The 22,054-nt window shown below is 37.0% G+C and overlaps 1 protein-coding gene across 52 annotated transcripts in view; it reads right to left on the reverse strand.

The window, feature by feature from the left end:
* Positions 1-22,054, reverse strand: part of DLG2 (discs large MAGUK scaffold protein 2) — a 2,173,362-nt gene that overhangs the window by 408,957 nt on the left and 1,742,351 nt on the right. For all 52 annotated transcript variants that reach the window (NR_165353.1, NM_001351274.2, XM_017017256.3 and 49 more), the window contains one exon: positions 10,452-10,520. Coding sequence is in view for 51 of the 52 variants with exons in the window: in NM_001351274.2 (NP_001338203.1) it covers positions 10,452-10,520 (69 nt within the window). In the remaining variant the exon portion in view is untranslated. The remainder of the gene's footprint in view (positions 1-10,451; positions 10,521-22,054) is intronic.

Here is a 22,054-nt window from a genome sequence, read left to right on the forward strand (position 1 = left end):
TCATAATTAATGCTTGACCACAGGAGAATTCTCCTTTGCAAAACTGAATAGGCTGTGAAGAACATGGCTCTGTTCTATACTTCCATGTAGCTCTTACAGACCTGTGCTTAGGAGAAAAAAATTCCCAACTCTTGATATCAGCCCATGTAAGCATGCAACTTCTTTAGTTTAAAGAGGGTGTTCATTTACCCTTCAGGTTTGGTAATCACCTGATAAAAATTACTGAAATTCCACCCGAACAGTGCTAGTAGCTTCCCTCAAATCAGCTGCTTGTTCTTTTGTTCTGTAATTACAAAGATATAATCACACTGAATTACTATAATTTTCAACATTCTGTCACCCTATTAGTCTGAGTTCTTCAGGGGCAAGGCTTGGGCCTTTTTCTTCTTGATTTTCTCAAATATCTCACCAGAGTGCTTGGCACATACTAGACATTCAGTAAATGCTTAGTTGAACAAATGCATAAGAAGTTAATCAATCAAATCAATGACTGAATGAATAAATGGTGCTTGTCCCCTGCAAAATCCTCTTTGAGCAGTCTAATTCTCTATGTAATAAGCAGGAGCCTTTACCAAATGTGATCCATTGGTCAATAAAGGTTGCTGACTGACATCTTAAAAGCATACTTCGGTGGAATAAACATTTACCAGCACTGAAAGTCAGCAGAGAGATTAAATAAAGGATAAACATCGCTGGCTGTTTCCCTGGCAATAAAGGGGCATCTGGTCTGTGGCATAGGATACAGACGTGCTCTTTCTTTAAACTCTCTTATAATTGGTCAGAAGAAGGAAGTAAACAGAAATCCTGATGGAATTTAAGAGTCTCTGAGGGATTGAAATATATGCAGAAAAAAAAACCAGATTTCATTTGGATATATAAAGATAGATGTCTCAAGATGAGTAATATAATGAAGGCTGACAAATGATACCTGAGGCAATCCTCTTTGTTTTTGGTTCTTGTTAGCCATGCCACCTTCCAGGTCACAGCCAGGCAAGGTACCAACAGAATGAAAATCATTATTTATAAGCAGTTCAATCCAAGGTCAAATTTATTGTCCCGCAAATATTCATCAGATAAGACTAAGGCTGTTTCTACTCATGTGATGGATGAGCCACCAGAAAACCCCTCTGACCACGACTTTTGTCTAGACTTATTTTCATGAAAGATAAAGACAAGACGGAAAAGGACTTTTGTCAGTCAGACTAAAAGACGTGATTGGAATGTATGTGACATTTCTGTTAAGGCAGGATGGTCTAGTAGTGCAGGAGACAGCCATCTAGGTTGCAGTCAAGAATCCTTCCCTTCCCAGACACATGACCTTGGGGAAGTCACTGGTCCTCTGTCATATCTGTAGACAGGATAAATGACTCTTACCCAACCACCTTACAAAGCTGCTATTAGGATCAAATGGAATAATGTCCCTGAGATGCCTTTGTAAATTATATTGCACTATGCAAACATAAGCCTGGTATCTTCATGGTGAACAGCGAAAAAAAAAAGACAAGAATAAAAGAGAAAAAAAAGAAAATGAATGGCAAATTAAGACTAAGAGAAAGGAGGAGGAGAAAGTTTCTGTAGAGAAGGGAGGGGAAAGGGAGAAAATACAGAAAATAAAAGGGGCCAAGGGAGGAACCGGTAGAGGAGAAGGAAAGATGCAGCAGTGGCAATGAACGATCTCATAATTCTGGCACACAGGTAGATAAATAGGCAAACAAACACATAAACATAAAACCGAAGGAACAGCAGAACTGGTCAGCCATGGGATTTAGAAAATCATGTCTATGTCAAGACCACAGAGCTCTGATAAGCAAGTGGAAGACCCCATCAGGCAGCCTCTTAGGAGGAGACAGTGAGTCAACCATGAGTCAGCCTCCTTATTATAAATTTCTAAATGGAAAGCACTACTGAGTTCATGTTGTTCTCATCTGTGCTCTGCTCAGTCATACACTCAGACAGATTTGTAATCATTGTGCAGCCATTGATAATGACCTTTTCTTTGCCTAGTCAAGGTCTATTGGTCATTCAGATAAGAGCCTTCCATGACCTCCCTGACCACCCCGACAAAGTCAGATGCCCTATTATAGGTACTCAGAGCATCACAGTCCCCCCTTTTTTTTTCACAGAGCTTGACACAGTAACAGATTTATATTTATTTGTGTGATTATTCAATTAATGTCTCATTTTCTCCCCCAGACTGAGGACAGAGTCAATGTCTGCTTTGCTCATCATTATATTCCTAATTGAATTTATTGGTTGGCATCATCATAAACAGAATCAAGTTAAAAAAGGACAGTATTCAAAGAGAGGTAATGGTGCAAATGTCAAGAAGAGGTTGGTGCTGGGGCTACAGTTAGAAAGTTTGGGACAGATAAAATCTTTTTGATAGTTTAAGCAACTAAATCTTGTCATGGAATAATGGTTCTGGTTTTCATTTTCATAACAGACTTATGACTGGGTGCTTTTTTGCTCCTCGTTGGTTAATTCAGCATATTAACTAGCTCTTTAGTGACATCTCAGTCAATGTCATGGGTGAGCATATTATTATTAGCATTAATAACTGTGAGTACTGATTAAGAGGGGCAATTTTCTAGTTGGATATTCTGCAGCACGCTGTTTTGGATATATTTAATTATATAACAACGAGGAGAAAGTTTATTCACAATTACATTGAGACCATTTTTAAACCCATTTATTAAAACTTTAAAAGGTTTTCAAGGAAGATATACACGGTATGATAAGTAATCATGCTGAAACTCAACTATGTCCAGAAAATAGGGAGTATTTAAAAAATAAACATCTCTAACTTCAATTGCCCAGTGGATTCTGTGGCAGCCCTACAAGGTCAATACTACTGGCATTGAGCAGCCCGCAGTATGTGAGTCCACTAAACAGGGCAGCTCAATAATTCTCATAACGAGACTCCTGACCTGTGACTTCCCGGCTTCTTCCTAGTCCTGCTGGGCAAACCAGAAGCCTACAGTTTGGAGATATTATTCCTCCATTTTTTCTAATTCGGTACATTTCAAGGTGAGTGGAATCATTATACAAGTTTGTTCCCCATTTAATAACATTTTTATTTGAAAGTAGATTTTTGACAATGATTCTAGTTAACAAAAAACTCCAAAACCTCAGAAATCATATTGAGCTCTACTTTGTATTTTAATGTCTTACTCAGGCCTCCAGGTTGGCCAACTCATAATAACAAAACACATACAAGTTTGGGGAGGTAGGAAAGGGTAGTGACTTAAAAATGTGGGCTCAAATCTCAGTTCTGCTACTTAACTTCTCCAAGCTTTAGTGTCTTAATCCATAAAGTGGGTTAAAGGTACCTAAATTGTTATTAGAGCAAAATGAGAGCCACATAAAACACTTACAACACATATCAGTTACTATTAAATTAAAATATACAATATTTAATGTTATATTTTTAGCCCTTAAATATAGAAAAAATATTCTTTTTGAACTTTAGAGTCTGTGTGTTTTCAATACCTGCTTTAATGATACAGTACTCTGTATTCTTCGATTTATGTTTATTTTTCTTCATTTTAAGGAAGGCTTTCTTTTATGGAACAATAATGATGATAGTGGATAACGTCTATACAAGTATTTACCTAGAAAATCTAGATTTTCTATGTCATCTTGCAAAATATTTTTGCTATTTTGTTAGTCCTTGAAATTCCACGTTTGGAAACTTCTGTCTGTTCTAAACAAGAATCAATGGTTTGTTTATGTATTTATTTATTTTTACACAGTTGTTATTTGAAAAGCAGATGGCAACAGAAATCCAGTCCCTGTGAGAGAATTAGAACCCATGTCTTCATAGCCCTTAAATATTTCCTAGCTCTCCATAGTCTCAGCATTTTTTCAACACTGATAAATTTGGGAGACTCCTTAAAGATTGCTGTGATGACACCTTTTATATTTTAAGCGCTACACATGTAAGGAAAAAGATTATAAGGCCTAGAAAAGGATGTCTTACGGAGTAAGGAAATGGAAAAAAAAATCTGTTCACCCTTTGAAATGAGGCTAAGGAAAAGGAGCTGACAGCTCAAGTAGGAGGAGAGGTGGAAATTCCAGGGACACAAGGAAAAATGAAAAGGAAGCACGTGATGCTGAACTGGGGGGACAGCGATGGTCAGAGGAATTTGCTGCTCTGACAGATTCCTAATGAATCCCCTCGTTTTTAAACTCTGAAGATCTATCTCCCCCACCCAGGGATGGAAGGAAGGCCTGCAAACTTTTTGAGTCCTTCCAAACAGTTAAGATGTTTTTAGCAGGTGACCTGGCAGCATTAATAAGGTTGGGACTCTCAACCAAAGCTTTCTTACCCAGAACTTTCTTATTCAGGAGACAGGTCTGTCTTTATTGGACTATAAGTCACAAACATAAATCTTTTTGGGGGGAGCAGTTTGATTTCTTCCGATCATTTCTAAAAATCAAATGGGTGCTCATCTCCTTACTTTTCCCATATTCTTTATAAATAAACTCTTCAGCTGACAGGAAAGCAAAATAAAGAGAATGACACATACATATAAATACATATATACATATGTGTGTGTATATATACATATACATAAATACACATATAAACATACACATAAAATAAAATGAATATTATTTTAATACATTCTAAAAATAGACAAAAATCCTTTGCCCTTTACCCAACTTGCTTCTCTGTTTTGATAGAGTCACTTAAATATCTGTGATAAGCAAAGGCTCAGATTTTCGACCAGCGACCCTAGCAACTAACAGCTTAAAAAAAAAATCTCTTCCAAGTTTCAAAGAGCACTTCCATAATTCAGTATATTTATCAGCATGTCAACTCCTCCCTGTCCCCAACACTACTTAGCACTACTTTTGAAGGTCAGGGTGTGCTGAAGGAAGTTGAGCATTCACACTGATTACAAATCCTGAGGTACAGATGGATCTCTGAATGTGTGGATAGAGATGACTCAAGCCAACTAGCCCAAAGGGCCAGCTACCTAAAGTCCAACGGTCCCTTAAAAGTTTACGCTCCATAACTAGGAATATTCCTAGAAGTCCATAAGCCAAAATTTTGTCTCCAAAATGTTAGATTTGGAAGGCATCTAATACCTTGTTTATTTAACTCAACCTGATCACTTCGTATATGAGATAACAGACATCTTGCCAAAATCACACAGTAAGAAATGTTAGATCTGGGTTCTATGTACTGATTCAAAGATGACCTGGTGATTTTCGGATCACATTCTGCCATGATCATATATTTTGGAACCAAACATCTGAGTACTTAGAGGAAAAAAAGACGAGTCTTTTAGGTCAGCATCATCCTGGGAAATCTGAAGCACATTAGCTTTAAAAAAAAAGCTTTTCCCACCCAGGCAAAAGGAGTAAAGGAGAGAACAAGAGAGAGAATAATTCCATTAGAGGTCTTGTTTCCAGATGTTCCTTGGAAAGGATACCTGAGCTCAGGCTCAGAACACCAGAGTCTCCCCAGCCCCAATGGAGCCATGGTTTCATGAGCCTAGGTGGCCTTAAAGTATGGGAAGGGTGTCTTTTGTGCCAAACAGTGGTACATGGCTGTCCCTATGGAGTTAGGCCTGCCCTGGTGAGAAAGTACAATAGCAGTATCATCACAAACCAGTTAACTTGAAAGGATGGGTTCCCTTAGATCTGTTTATAAGTAAAACTACTTTTTGTTTTTCTTTTTGATACTCATATACTTCTGGATTTGGGAGACATTTTTGGTGGGGTTAGTTAGACAAACTATTTATTCCATAAAGGATTCCTTGAAGAATTTCCCTGAAGGTGGTCATTTAGTTTCCTTTTAAGTGCTACTTGTAAAGGCTGGCCAACCCCTTTCAGGGCAGCTGTTTTACCAATGTGAAAATGCTACTAGAATTTGTACTAGAAAATTCTGCCATTAAGTGTGTCACTAAATGACCTTGTAAGGTAACATAAAGTGCCTTCTCCTAGATGAAAGAAAGCTTTCTGAGTAGCTGAAGATACTTCTTACTCTTAGCAGTGTTAACAAAATGCTTCTAGGTTTTTGCACGTGATTTTATTTTCTATTTTTTTAACCTCTGCCTTGCTGCAGACACATCCCTTAAAATTCAATTTGTGCCACCTCCCCTGAGAATCCTCCCTTCCTTTCCAGAGGCAAATGCTTTTAACCATTTCAGCTTTTAAAAAATTTGTATACATTTAAGAGGTACAAGTGCAATTTTGTCACATGGCCATATTCCACAGTGGTGAAGCCTGTGCTTTTAGTGTATCCATCAACAGAATAATGTACATTTTACCCACCAAGTAATTTCGCACTGTCCAACCTCCTCGAAGTATTTCACTCTATTGAGTCTCCAATGTCCATGTGTATATATTATTTAGCTCCCATTTATAAGTGAGAATATGTGGCATTCGTCTTTCTGTTTCTGATTGTTTCACTTAAGATAATGGCCTCCAGTTCCACACATGTTGCTGAAAATGACATGATTTCATTCTTTTTATGGCTGAATAGTATTCCATTGTGTATATATACCACATTTTATTCATCCAGTCATTCGTTGATAGGCACTTAGGTTGATTAGGCTTTTTAACGGAAAGGTTTGAGGTTAAGCCAGAAAACATGAAACTGTGCCCCAAACTAGCACACTGTGAAGGGCTCAGCTGTGGGGGCCAACTCTCAAACTAGCTCATCTAGGTGCTACAGAAGAGTGATTCAATTTTTTCTGAGAAGAAGCTTCTTTTTTTTGGTATTCAGCGGTGTGCATGCTAATTGGGGGACTCTTCATTCCTATTCTCAGACTCTGCTTTCAATCCCATCTGTTGTCACTACCCTAACGTCTCTGAGTTTTCCGGGTTTGGCTAGGCAGATCTGCTCTTTGCTGAGCTGTAGGCCCCTTCACATAGTGCTACTGCACTGTGGTAGGGCTTCTTGTGGGTGGCAACTCGGGAGACATAATCCGAGGAAATGTCATTCTAATAGAATGCAATGTAAAAGGTACCCCCTGGAGTTGTACAACCCTGTTTCCATAGGTGATCAAAGGCTGAGATTACTTTGTTTTTCACCGATCAATACCCTTCAATCAGCTTTCTGTTGCAAAGAAATATAATGAAACCATTTGGCCTTTGATGCCCCCTTCTATTTCCTTGATCACTAGGAGACTGTCCTTTTAAACAAATATTATTATCCCATTAGCTTCCTTTTAATAGGGTCTCAGGAGAAAGAGGAGATTAGGGTGTGGGCTGTGTCTGTCAACTTGAAACTGAAACCAGAACTTATTCTGCTAATAGGGATATTATTCTTCCTCATTTTGTCTGGCATAATTATAGATGATTCAGATATCAATTTAAAAACAGCAGTGACTCTATGGTAGAGGACTCAATTAGATAGTTTTGTTGTCTCAATGGATCAAATTAACTGGAAATCTGAAATATCTCCACTTATTTTATGTCAAGTAAATAGCAACTTGGGTGAAAATTATATAAACATATGGCCTTTTAAACTACATTCATTTAAAAAATATCCTATGTAGTTGCTTTTCACAAAAGCATTAGGAAGGAGAGTTTTCAAATAATGGGATTTGCAATTTCAGTTGATTGCCTACACTGAGCAGTATAACACTTTAATGGGAAACCTGTTAAAGACCCATTGGCCTATGTAAGATGAAAAATAACTTTCCCACTATGTGCACGTTATCTCTTCATCTGACAACCAGCTGGGCATGTATAGCACAAATTTTTGTGTTCTGGACTTTGTAGAGGATTACTGAGACTTCGCCTTCTAAATATTTCAGTAATGCTAAGTTATTTCTACCTGAAATATTTCATTTTATATCCAGAAGTGTTTTACATAAACAAATACATATAAACATATTTAAAAGCAAGTGTTCAAAATAAGTCTTCAAACTAATCTAGCCTATAAAAATAAATTTTGTTTTTTTTCAGAACACTTAGACTAAGTGTATATTTAACTAGTACTTATTGACGGTCCAATATGTACCTGATACTTTTATTTTTAAAAATTGGTGAGTTTGGGCTGGGCATAGTGGCTCACACCTGTAATCCCAGCACTTTGGGAGGCTGGGGCGGGCAGATCACAAGGTCAGGCGTTTGAGACCAGCCTGGCAAATATGGTGAAACCCCGTCTCTACTAAAAATACAAAAAGTAGCTGGCGTGGTGGTGTGTGTCTGTAGTCCCAGCTATTCGGGAGGCTGAGGCCGGAGAATCGCCTGAACCCAGAAGGTGGAGGTTGCAGTGAGCCGAGATCACGCCACTTCACTTCAATCTGGGTGACAGAGCGAGACTCCATCTCAAACAAATTGGCGAGTTGTATACTATTTTCCCTTTTAGCTGTTGAGGAAACCCATGCTTAGAGAGGTGAAGGTCGCTGATCAACAACAAATGGTAGAGGCCAGGACTCAAACCAAATTCTTTGACTCTAGAGTAAGTTTTCTTCCATTCTTATAGGGAATAGAATATATTGTGTTATTCACTAGATATAAGGCAAATTGCTTTATGCTAGTTGGGACAATAGATCACTATGAAGTTTATACAGTTTGCTATTTTTTTGTAAAAGGAGTCACTCTGGTGTTTTGAAGTTAGGGTAACACCTTTACATTTTTGGCCTCATCAGAGAAGAAGAAATGGTGATTATGTCAACTACAGAGTTCCTCTAACTCAAGTGGAAAACAGTGGAAATTGAAAAATATTCTTAGGGCAAATTGCTAATAAGCTTTTGCTAATAAAAAGAAAGAAAACAAAAGTTTGGAGATAGCCTTAGAAGGAAATGCCATTATTCATCATAGTTGAAGGAAGTCTACTTTGTGCTGATGGCCAAAATGTGAAATGATAGCCACCCTGAGCCCTGCCAAGAGAGGTCTTCAAAAGGAATAATAAAGTGAGGTAGAGACAGTGGTAAAATTAGTCCCCACACCCTTACCTCTACTGCAAACAACACCTCAGCTACATAGTATGCACATGGACCTCTAGTACCATCCCAAACAGCAGGTTATTGATTCTATTTAAAGATTTTTAAGGTTAGAGTCATTCTAGTTCTTCATTATTTTTTTCACACTTAGGAAATTCTGCACGATGTCTAACTTAGCCTGAATGTGGTTTATGAATTGTACAACCAGTGCTCTCCACCTCAATAAAGTCTTTTCGTACCACATTATAGAGGACAGAGCCACACAGTGGAGTCAAGCTTGATTTCAAGTCCAAGCTATGCTACTTTCTATACAAGTACACTTGGGAAAATTACTTAAACTCTCTGAGAATCAGTGTTCAGAAAAAAAAATACCTATCTTGTAGGACTACTTTAGAAATAAAATCAGGTAAGACAGGTGATGTGGTTTGGCTGTGTGTCCCCACCCAAATCTCATCTTAAACTGTACTCCTACAATTCCCACGTGTTGTGGGAGGGACCTGGTGGGAGATAACTGAATCATGGGGCAGCTTCTCCCATACTGTTTTCATGACAGTGAATAAGTCTCATGAGATCTGATGGTTTTATAAGGGGAAACCTTATAAAACCTTGGCTCTCATTCTCTTTCTTGCTGCCATGTAAGAAGTGCCTTTTGCCATCTGCCATGATTGTGAGGCCTCCCTAGCTACATGGAAATGCAACTCCACTAAACCTCTTTCTTTTGTTAATTGCTCAGGCTCAGGTATGTCTTTATCAGCATCGTGAAAATGGACTAATACAACAGGTGATTGGTAGATAAATAGATAGAGCCTGGCACCAATAAGCACTCAGTAAATGTTAGTTTTTTTTCTTCCCTTGGAGGAATATTTATGAACTTGTGCTGTTGGGCAAATATCCATGTATGCTTCAGTCCTCAGCTCAAGAGTTACATCTTTTCAGGAACCAACATGACCTGCTCCCTAGTACCCTTTGGATGACCATTTACAGTTAGGTATCCCTCCTGGATTCTCCATTAATCCCTTATGCATATCTCCTATAGAGTGTAATGCTTACACTGTATCACAAGTGTGTGTTTGTATTTCTATCATTTGTACTAGACAATGAAGCCCTCTGGAGGGCAAGAAGAAATCTTGTTTGACTTATTAAATCTAGTACCTAGCACAGTGCTTGGCACATAAGGTGAGTTTCCTAGATATTTGCTGATTGAAAGAAAAAAAGAGAGAGAGTGTGTGCGTGTGAGAGAGACAGAGAAAGAAGAGTGGGGAGGTAGGGAAGGAAAGAAAGAAAGATAGAAAGAGAAAGAGAGAAAAAAGGACAAAAGAAAGAGAAAGAAAGACAGAAAAAAAGAAAGAAAGAAAGACAAAGAAAGAAGGGAAGGAAGGAAGGAAAGAAGGAAGGAAGGGGAGAAGGAAGGAAGGGAGGAAGGAAGGAAAGAAGGAAGGGAGGGAGGGAGGGAAGGAGAAAGAGAGACAGAGACAGGGAGAGAAAGGAAGACTTCATATTCCAAGGCTGCACAGTTTAAGAGGTTCTGTATTATTATCTTACCCTTCCAGGGAGACGGCCCGTTGGAGAGTCATTGAAGGCTGACGAGTTGCGGTGCTATGTTGGGAATGACTGCAAGAAAAGACAGAAGAAACACACATCATTTATTTATTTTTTATTTTTTTATTTTTTTATTATACTTTAAGTTTTAGGGTACATGTGCACAACGTGCAGGTTAGTTACATATGTATACATGTGCCATGTTGGTGTGCTGCACCCATTAACTCGTCATTTAACATTAGATATATCTCCTAATGCTAACCCTCCAAGAAACACAGATCATTTATTTAAAATGTTTTTGAACATTTTAATCGGTCCTATTGTCAATAACCAGTCTTGAAAGAAATACAGTAGAGATTAAATATTTGGTGATAGGTAGAACCCTCCACCAAAATATAGTACTCTACCAGATAAGAGTTAATTTTTTTATAATTTGATTTTAATATGTATTATTCAAAAGTAAGCTTTTAACGATAGGTGAACATTAAAATGAACAAACATATTTGGAAAAGGTAATTTTTTGCCCTTGGAATGAGATAACACAGAGCATAAAAACATACATTTCTTTATGATGCAATGTATTTTTTAAGCTGCAGAATAATTTTTTCTAACAAAATTTTACACAGAACCTAATCTGTAAATCAGGTAAATTATATTTAGTTAGTATAGATGTATTTATTAGTTCAAATTTGCAACACTTATTGTAAAATTAGTTAATAATAATTGAGCTATTTGATGAACACAAAACTTGAAAAATGAGACTTCCAGCTGCATATCAATCTTCAAATTTAATGTAGTTCTAGATTTTGATTACCTGTAACAAGAAAAGACTGATTTTGTAGATAAGTAATATAAATAAAATGATAATATCTAACATTTATTGAGATCTGAAACACTTTTCTAAGTGTTTTTAAATTTTTATGTCTCTTATTTCTCATAAATGTATGAGGTATGTCCCATTCAACAGATGAAGAAATTGAGATACAGAGAGGATTAGAAAGTTGCTCAGAGTCACATGGTAACTTCCTGTGCCTGAAATGGCATTGAGACTGTTTGATTCTAGAGTCATTTTAAATTCTTACAACAATTTTTCACATTTTTAAGAATTCATCTTGGAATCTTAGAATATTCTTTAGAAAGAGATGGCAAGAGAATCTTTCATCTGAGATAGGCACAATAATAATAATTCAACAGCCAACTTTACTGAATGTGTAATTTTAGTTTATAGTATTAGTTAAATATTTTGGTTGAAACACTATTTACATATACACATAATATATGAACAAGTGTATATATACATATATGTATAAAAGAAACCTGAGTCTAGGATTTCTCAGCACAAACATGGCAAATGCTGACATTGCCACAGAGAATCAAACTACAGGCTGCAGAGTCTTTCATTCAGAACCTTGGTCACCACAGGTGGGAAGAGGTGTTTTCCTGTGACACGTAGATAATATTTGTCTAAGGTTGAGGGTACAGAATTTTGAGACCATAGCTGAAACCTACAGAATCATATTCAAGTTAAAGACTGTGCCTCTTCAAGTTAAAGACTGTGTTTCCTGGTATCCCTCACAGTGCCAAGATATTCATTGATCATGTTTTCAATTGACTAGTTGAAAAGCATCGTAGTATTCAGGACTTGGACTATGTAGCCAGACTGCCTGGCTCAACCACATATACCAATGTAACCTTGTATATATTACTTAAATCGCTCTGTATGTCAGCTTCTCATCTTATAAGACTGGGATAGTAACAGGACTTTCCTCACAGGGTTATTATAAGAATTAAATGAATACAGTATTTAGAACAATGGCTCTCACATGGTAAAGCTATATAAGCATTTGTTAAATAAATAAACCATTATGATTTAGCAGAGCGTGTACTTTGAGATGTTTAGTACCAAATAAGAATAATTACTGTATTTAGACCACTTCAGTTAGTCATACAGTCAGTGCCACAAGGTGTATATTTCTGTGTATAACTTTAGTGATAAATATCAAATTAAAATATATTTTCTATTACAAAAATATCATAAATTTACAAGCATATAAAATAAAACATTTTCTATTAAAAAATATTACAAAATTACTGGAAATAAAAATGAGAAATTAAAAATATTCACCTATACTCCTATTACCTTCTTTCACATTTTACCGAGTTATCTAATGTAGTTCTTATAGGAGTCCTCTAAGGTAGATATAAGTATTCCCATACACAAGAAAACAAAACATATAGAATTTAAAATGATTTTCAGAAATCAACAGCTTGCAAATGTGGAGCCAGAGTCCAAACTAAAGCCTACCTTATCACCAAGTGGGTGTACTTTCCATTCTATCTTACTGACTCTCTACGTGTCCATATGTATTTCACATAGTTGTATATATATACAGAAACATATGTAACTTCATATCCTCTGCTTTTCCTAACATTTAAGCATTTCTAATATGGTCTCTATAATTATTATTTTGGAGTTACATAACGTTACTTCCTATGAAGATATAATTAATTAACCACCGTTGATAGTTGGATATTTGGGTGATGTTTACGGCTTTAATATTATAAACAGTGCTGCAATGAACATGTTGATATCAATTACTTTTTTCTTATTTTACAATTTTCTTCAGATGCGTTTCCCAAAATGGAAATGCTTATTAGTTTCTTGATTTATGTTATTAATTACTTTTCAAAAGCTTTGTATCATTTTATTGCCTCTAAAAATGTGTATCTGTACTAGTTTCCCCACAGTCTTAAAAGCACTGACATTATAACTTTTAAAACACCCTAACAATTTAATAGATGAAGAATGATGCATCAGATTTGTAATGAGCATTTCTTTGTTTATTAGTGAGAATGACCATTTTTTTCCGTATACTTATTGGCTAATTGTATATCTTTTGTGCAAAATGTCTAATCCTTTCCTTTACCATTTATTTTCCACTGATCTAGAAAGTACCAACAGTTCTTAGGCAGCTCAATTATGGTCACTAACCAAGATTAATAAGTAACTGTAATTTCTGATAGCTTTCTCATCATTAGCTCAGCCCAAAATTAAAACAAAAAAAATTCAGTAATCTCACTTCACTTATCATTACCTTATAACTAATTATTTTGTTATTCTACTCTATTCCAATAATATCCTCTTTAAAGTTTTAGCGACAAAGTAAATGCAAATGGTACCCTGAGGTGCACAGAGAATTTGACTCCTTTTATATTACACATGCAAGGTTAGCCAGTTTCTCCTAGCATGTAGATTTGGAACAAACAGAGCCTTTTCCAAAATGTAATTATCCTTTCACTCTCTTCTAAGACAAATACAGTGAACTAAGATAAATAGAGTCAAGACCTGTGGACACAAATGAATTTTTGTTATTCCCAAATATAATAGTAATGTCCAAGCTATACTTGCAGGAGGGATGCTTGTAGTGGATGTTTGGAGCTACCTGATGGTGACTACAACTGGTATTTTAAAGAACACCAAACATTTTTCCCTTCGGACCAAGTAGGTTCTATCGTTTCCACATTATTGGCTACATAAACAATGTGGTGTAGAGTTACCATCGCTAAGAAATTACAGGTAACCTTTTCCTGTCTCTTTCACCTCCTCAGGAAGAGAGGCCAGTCAGATGGAATTCTGAGAACTGTTGTAGAAAGAACCAAGGGAGGAAATCACAGCTAAAACATGCTGCTCTGTTCTGCCATCTCATTTTCCTACATATCCATAATAGCACCCAGGGCTATGAATCACTAAGATTTATTCACATGCCCATTTCTCCTACAAAGTCATGTGTGCTTTCAGAGCAAAGTATTGGGTTTCTTCATCTATACATTCGCAGCTCAGGGTTGGCACACAAAAGACCCTTCATCAATGTCTTTTTGAATGATGAATACCATGGATTGAATTCCATCTATCTGTAAGGCCCCCATGACTTCTTGCTTTTAAATTCTGCAATAGCATCAAGAACTAGGTTTCATCCCCATTTTCAAGGGAAAAAAGTGCTTGCTCCTCTGAGACAAACCATATTGTTTTATAAAAAGTTGAAATCAAAGCTCTGTGACTGGTCTATATAGAGCACCTGAAACACATTGTTAGAAAATACTGAACTCCCACTGAGTAACACTGACAAATTCTTTTTTTCTTTGGTATAAATACCACCCATTATTTTTACCACATATGCTCAACTTCCACGTCAGTGACTTTTGAAGATGATTTTTATGAAGATCACTTAATAAAGGAACTTCTCTGTCCCACCCACACCACCTCATTAGTAAGTCATGAACATTCATGAAGATTTAAGTGACAATGAATAGTGGGTGGGTAGAATGAGCATGAGGGAGGCTCAGCATCATGCTACAACATGGATGCTGGAGAAGAAGTCCCCTGTCGCCTGGTAGAAAACCTGTGGCACCAATTCCCTAGTTAGGTAGCTTGGCTGAGGTACTAAATTGGGCAACTGTGGAGATAAATATTACTAAGCCTTTTTAAGATTCAAAGAGAGGTATAAGCCCTATTGCCTGTCCAAATGATGCTGTCATTAAATAAAATTGAGGAAGTGCACAATAGAGTTTCCTTTCCAAGAACTCTCTGATTTTTTCCAAGTAAAAGACTCCAAACTGTTGCCTAAAAAATGAAATTTGAATGGTGCTGAAAGATGTATTCCCATTGCTGTGCTTAATTAAGAAATTTTTGAGCATCTGAATTGAAATTGTTCTATTACACATGGAACACAAAGGTCCTAGCTGGTGGTAACAAATGGCTTTTAAATTTTCTCCTTCTCTGAGGCAATGAGAGGCAGGATAAGTGGTTTTTCCAATATGTTGTAATATTAAAACTATGTTATTCTAATGGACAGCACAAAAAGTTTTTTGTGTACTTTATTAATTAACTGATAACAATAAAGTTACTTAATGTGACTTGTAAAGTCACATTCATCATTAACATATCTTCTTATGGATATTCAATATTGCCTATTTTTCCACTTCTAATGAACTTGCATTTATCCTTGTCATATTTAACTCTTCATCTCTCTCTTGCATATTTGTATCCATCATTTATTTAATCTACCTTAATATTTCTTTCTTCTCTTTTTCTGTCTACTTTCCTTCTCTCTTAATATAGCGCATGCATTAAATTGTCACTATTCTTAAAAAGAAGAGTATGTCTTGGATATCCAATCAGTACCTCAAATTTAACATAATTAAAACGTCATCACCTTCCCACATGAAACTGGATAGTCCTCCAGTTGTTTCATTGACACTTAACATGAAGTGTCTTGTACAATTACTTATATGTTGTAGTTATACCCAATAAATGTTAATTGGGCACTTATTATACACCAGGGATTGTGTTAGGTGCTTGGGATGACTCTTTCATTCCTCAATATTGTAGTACTCAATAAATATCTGGTAATAAAGAGAATGATGAAAGCAAATAAATCATTTGGCCCATGTCCAAATAACATGGATAGCATTTTTCAATAAATCCCCAGGCATATTTAATTGGCAAACTACCTAAGCTATGTTTGGAAGAATATATAAGTATTTTAAAGGATGGTGAAGGAAAACAAGACATTTTGAGACTCATGAAGAGCATGACCAAGATCATGAAGGGTCAAAAATATGTGGTGTGCTCTGGAAACTTGAGTGTCTTGGCTTGGCCAGAGCAGAGTGGCCAGGGGTAAGGTCAGGAAGCTGACTGTGGATGGGCAATGAGGGACAATGAATACCCTGCCAAGGTCTGGTCTTACACCTGTTGGCAATGGTGGGCTCTCCAAGGTTATTAAGTGGGGGGAATAAAGGGGTCAAGATGGAGATAACAGTGATTCAGAAAAGTAAACCTGAAACTATTCTGAATAATGAAAGGAAGTGGAGGAAATCTATAGTCAGGGAGACTAATAGTAAACCATCAGGGTGAAGAATATTAATAAATGCCTAAACTTGAATAATGCAGTAAAAATTAAGAAAAGAGAATGTATTTAATACATTTAGAGGTAGAATATTCAGGAATTAATAAGAAGGAGCTAAGGAGAAGACACTTTGATTCCAGTGATCTGGCTGGGTAGGCATTTCTCCTCCTGAAAGTGAAATTATCCTACATATAAAGGGCCCTGTTTTTCCCAGGGTATAGGAAGAGTTGTGCTCTCTTCTGTGACTTTTAAGCAAGCCTTCAAAAATAGACAGACTCTGGTGTTAGGATTGGGGGAGGTGAGGAAGAATGAATGGAGAATTCCACCATTGACTGAAAGGACCACGGCTCTATTAACAGAAGTGCATGTGTGTAAAGGAAAGTGCAAGTGTGGATAGAAAAATATAATTGAATTTGATTTTGTACAAGATTAGCTTGATGAACCTGTTACACATGTGGGAAATATGATCTATAGTGGACATCTATAATTATTAAAAAGTTCTTCCTTCTCTTGGCGTGATACCCATCTGTCCACAGTAGCCACTGGATGACTGAGATATTCCTTGCATCTTCAACCCTTACAAATAAACATTCATAACACTTTTGATTCTTTCTTTATGAGATAGTTTCAAGGTTCTTAGTTATCTTTGCTTGTATGTGCTTACATTTTTCTTCTGATATCTATTAAGTTGGTGCAAAAGTAATAGTGGTTTTTTCCATTTTTTTAAAAAAAATGATAAAAACCGTGATTACTTTTGCACCAATCTAATATTTAAACTGCAGAATGTAGAAATGAACTCATAGTTCCAGATGTGTTCAGATCAGGGAAGAGTGCCATGAGATGCTGACTTTTCTCCATTTGGATCCCATACTCCTGTCATAGCAGCCCAAGATAACATGGACTTTTACAATTTGCTGAATTTTATTGCTAAGCTTAGAGTCCACTGAACCTCTTATATATTTGTGACCTCAAATGATTAAAAATCAAATCTATCATGTACTTACACATTGGATTTTGGGACCCAATATAGTTACCACATGTTAAATTTAATGGTACCGATTTTGATCTAGATTTTAAGTTTGTTAAGCTAACATTCAGTTATCAATTTAATTCAATAAGTATTTATTGAGCATTTAAGATGTGTTGGCCATTATAGAATTTCACTATTTCATCTAGCTTTATATCATCAAATTTTACATTTTTATTTAAGTCATTGATTATAATAAGGCATAAGGACTGTGCATTGTGGCAAATCATCACAGATCTCCCTCCAGTGTAATAGTTAGTCCACAAGTTGCGCTGTTGAGCTCTCTTAAGCAGCATCCTTTTAATAGACTAACCAATCTTCTCCACTCTGTCAGTGACAGGCAGACCAATGTCCACAGCAAGCAGAATGTTTATGTCCCATAAATTTCCATTCCTTTCAGGTGATTTGCATACTAACAAAGAATCAATTGTAATTATTCTTAAATCTGTTTATTCTTATTGCATTTGTTTTTATAATTACATAATTAAATGTTGCAAAAATGAAATGTGTACAAAAAAGCCTTGTCTCTATCAAGAGTAAGTTTTCTGATCTTGAAAATCTAAAAAAAAGTATGTATTAATAGTTAAAAATATTGCTGTCAAATTAGGTCTGAGAGAGATAAGATCAAAAAATATTATAAAATAAAGAATTTTTCACTTAGTTCACTTTTAATTCTTACCTACATTTAAAGAAATCCAGCATGGAAAGTATGGATGATGGATTAAGTTATAATTTACGTAAGAAAAATGAAATAGAACTTCAGAAAAAAAATGGGTCCCAGGTTTCTGGCCTTACAAGTCAATTTGGTATGCCAAATATTTTAAAGCAATTAAAGAACAATTTAGACATTGGAAATAACACCATCAAAACTGTGGCCAGACGTTGAAAATTCCAGAAAAAATCTTGACCCTCACATATAAAAAAAAGATGAAGGAACACAATATGTTAACTGTTCTCAAATTAAAAGTGTGGATGACTTATAGAAATGCAAAGTGTAAGATTGTACTAATGATAATTTGCTTAAAGTTAAAATTGTGGACAATTAAGAAATCAAGCATGTTGGGACAAACAGATGGATATAAGTATGAAGAAAAACATTAAATCAAATTTAGAGCCCCCAATTTTTCATTCCATAGCCAAAGATACTCAAAATGTGCTTTTACTTTATATTAAATGGCTTCACTCAACAGTCAGCAATGACGTGGTGACTCAAAAAATAAATTGGATATGCTTTATTGGGAGAAATACCATTTTTTTCTTTTAAATACCAATAAAACACTCATTTTATTATGCCACTATACAATCATATTTTTAAAACTTAAAGTGAAGTAATTAAGACATGCAGGCAGTTTTTTAAATAAATGAAATGTTTAAATCCAAACTTTAGACTAACAAGTCAATAACTGGTTCTGGATGTGCAGGGTAGGAAAAGTTCTCTTATATGAATGTCTAATAGGATTATCAACCAGGTATTAGTTCTTTCCTTATCTTTAAAGAATAGCATGGGAGAATTTGGAGTCTTCTTATAAAGGAGAATTAGGTTAAGTTGCACAGCCAGAATGTGGTTAAGGTGAGATCGAAGACAGATGCAATTCTCAGCCCTTGGTTTTCTCCATCCTGTGCCACTGCGACCCATATTCTTCTCTGTGACAACAGTTAAATGACGAACATGGCAGCCCAAACACTGGCCAATCAAGCATGTTTGTCCCAGCATGCTTGATTTCTTAATTGCCCACAATTTTAACTTTAAACAAATTATCATTAGTACAATCTTACACTTTGCATTTCTATAAGTCATCCACACTTTTAATTTGAGAACAGTTAACATATCGTGTTCCTTCATCTTTTTTTTATATGTGAGGGTCAAGATTTTTTCTGGAATTTTCAACGTCTGGCCACAGTTTTGATGGTGTTATTTCCAATGTCTAAATTGTTCTTTAATTGCTTTAAAATATTTGGCATACCGAATTGACTTGTAAGGCCAGAAACCTGGGACCCATTTTTTTTCTGAAGTTCTATTTCATTTTTCTTATATAAATTATACCTTAATCCATCATCCATACTTTCCATGCTGGATTTCTTTAAATTTAGGTAAGAATTAAAAGTGAACTAAGTGAAAAATCTAAAAATCCCACTCATCACTGTTAGGTAGCTGAGAGACTCTGAGAGTACACTTCAAATGCTGAACTAATCTCCATGAAAAACTCTTTGCTTTAAAGCAATAATGAGAAATCTCAGCATTTTGCCCAGTGGACTGACTCAAATGGATTATGACTGGCCTCAAAGCCTGAAACACCAGGAGCAAAATATAGTGTTTTAACACAGCGGGCATATTCCTGCCTTTACTCATTTTGTTTTGGGTGGCTAGCTATACATCATTCTTCTAGGCTTTTGTAGTATAAAAGCTGCATCTCAGAAAGCAATAAGGCACTTAGTAATGTATGAACATGTATACAAAAAAAAAAAAACCCTTTCCCCACAGACCATTCTTCACAAAGAAAATGAAAAACTGAATTTATTATAGCTTAAATCAGGTATTAGATAGTTCCATAAATGTAGCTACTTCAAAAAGGAAAGCAAATTTTAGTTAGAAATTTTATAGAGCTGGTGGAGCCAAGATGGCCGAATAGGAACAGCTCCGGTCTACAGCTCCCAGCGTGAGTGACGCAGAAGACGGGTGATTTCTGCATTTCCAACTGAAGTACCGGGTTCATCTCACTAGGGAGTGCCAGACAGTGGGTACAGGACAGTGGGTGCAGGGCACCATGCGCGAGCCGAAGCAGGGCGAGGCATTGCCTCACTTGGGAAGCACAAGGGGTCAGGGAGTTTCCTTTCCTAGTCAAAGAAAGGGGTGACAGATGGCACCTGGAAAATCGGGTCACTCCCACCCTAATACTGCGCTTTTCCGACGGGCTTAAAAAACGGCGCACCAGGAGATTATATCCCGCATCTGGCTCGGAGGGTCCTACGCCCACAGAGTCTCACTGATTGCTAGCACAGCAGTCTGAGATTAAACTGTAAGGCGGCAGCGAGGCTAGGGGGAGGGGCGCCCGCCATTGCCCAGGCTTGCTTAGGTAAACAAAGCAGCTGGGAAACTGGAACTGGGTAGAGCCCACCACAGCTCAAGGAGGCCTGCTTGCCTCTGTAGGATCCACCTCTGGGGGCAGGGCACAGACAAACAAAAAGACAGCAGTAACCTTTGCAGACTTAAATGTCCCTGTCGGACAGCTTTGAAGAGAGCAGTGGTTCTCCCAGGATGCAGCTGGAGATCTGAGGACGGGCAGACTGCCTCCTCAAGTGGGTCCCTGACCCCTGACTACCAAGCAGCCTAACTGGAAGGCACCCCCCAGTAGGGGCAGACTGACACCTCACACAGCCAGATACTCCTCTGAGACAAAACTTCCAGAGGAACGATCAGACATCAGCATTCGCGGTTCACAAAAATCCACTGTTCTGCAGCCACCGCTGCTGGTACCCAGGCAAACAGGGTCTGGAGTGGACCTCTAGCAAACTCCAACAGACCTGCAGCTGAGGGTCCTGTCTGTTAGAAGGAAAACTAACAAACAGAAAGGATATCCACACCAAAAACCCATCTGTACAACACCATCATCAAAGACCAAAAGTAGATAAAACCACAAAGATGGGGAAAAAACAGAACAGAAAAACTGGAAACTCTAAAAAGCAGAGCGCCTCTCCTCCTCCAAAGGAACGCAGTTTCTCACCAGCAACGGAACAAAGCTGGACAGAGAATGACTTTGACAAGTTGAGAGAAGAAGGCTTCAGAGCATCAAACTACTCCAAGCTACAGGAGGAAATTCAAACCAAAGACAAAGAAGGTAAAAACTTTGAAAAAAATTTAGACGAATGTATAACTAGAATAACCAATACAGAGAAGTGCTTAAAGGAGCTGATGGAGCTGAAAGCCAAGGCTCGAGAACTACGTGAAGAATGCAGAAACCTCAGGAGCCAATGTGATCAACTGGAAGAAAGGGTATCAGTGATGGAAGATGAAATGAATGAAATGAAGTGACAAAGGAAGTTTAGAGAAAAAAAGAATAAAAAGAAACGAACAAAGCCTCCAAGAAATATGGGACTATGTGAAAAGACCAAATCTACATCTGATTGGTGTACCTGAAAGTGACGAGGAGAATGGAATCAAGCTGGAAAACACTCTACAGGATATTATCCAGGAGAACTTCCCCAATCTAGCAAGGCAGGCCAACATTCAGATTCAGGAAATACAGAGAACGCCACAAAGATACTCCTTGAGAAGAGCAACTCCAAGACACATAATTGTCAGATTCACCAAAGTTGAAATGAAGGAAAAAATGTTAAGGGCAGCCAGAGAGAAAGGTCGGGTTACCCACAAAGGGAAGCCCATCAGACTAACAGCGGATCTCTTGGCAGAAACTCTACAAGCCAGAATAGAGTGGGGGCCAATATTCAACTTTCTTAAAGAAAAGAATTTTCAACCCAGAATTTCATATCCAGCCAAACTAAGCTTCATAAGTGAAGGAGAAATAAAATACTTTACAGACAAGCAAATGCTGAGATATTTTGTCACCACCAGGCCTGCCCTAAAAGAGCTCCTGAAGGAAGCACTAAACATGGAAAGGAACAACTGCTACCAGCCACTGAAAAATCATGCCAAATTGTAAAGATCATCGAGGCTA

Source organism: Homo sapiens, chromosome 11 (assembly GCF_000001405.40).
Source record: "Homo sapiens chromosome 11, GRCh38.p14 Primary Assembly".
NCBI classification, from domain to species: domain Eukaryota; kingdom Metazoa; phylum Chordata; class Mammalia; order Primates; family Hominidae; genus Homo; species Homo sapiens.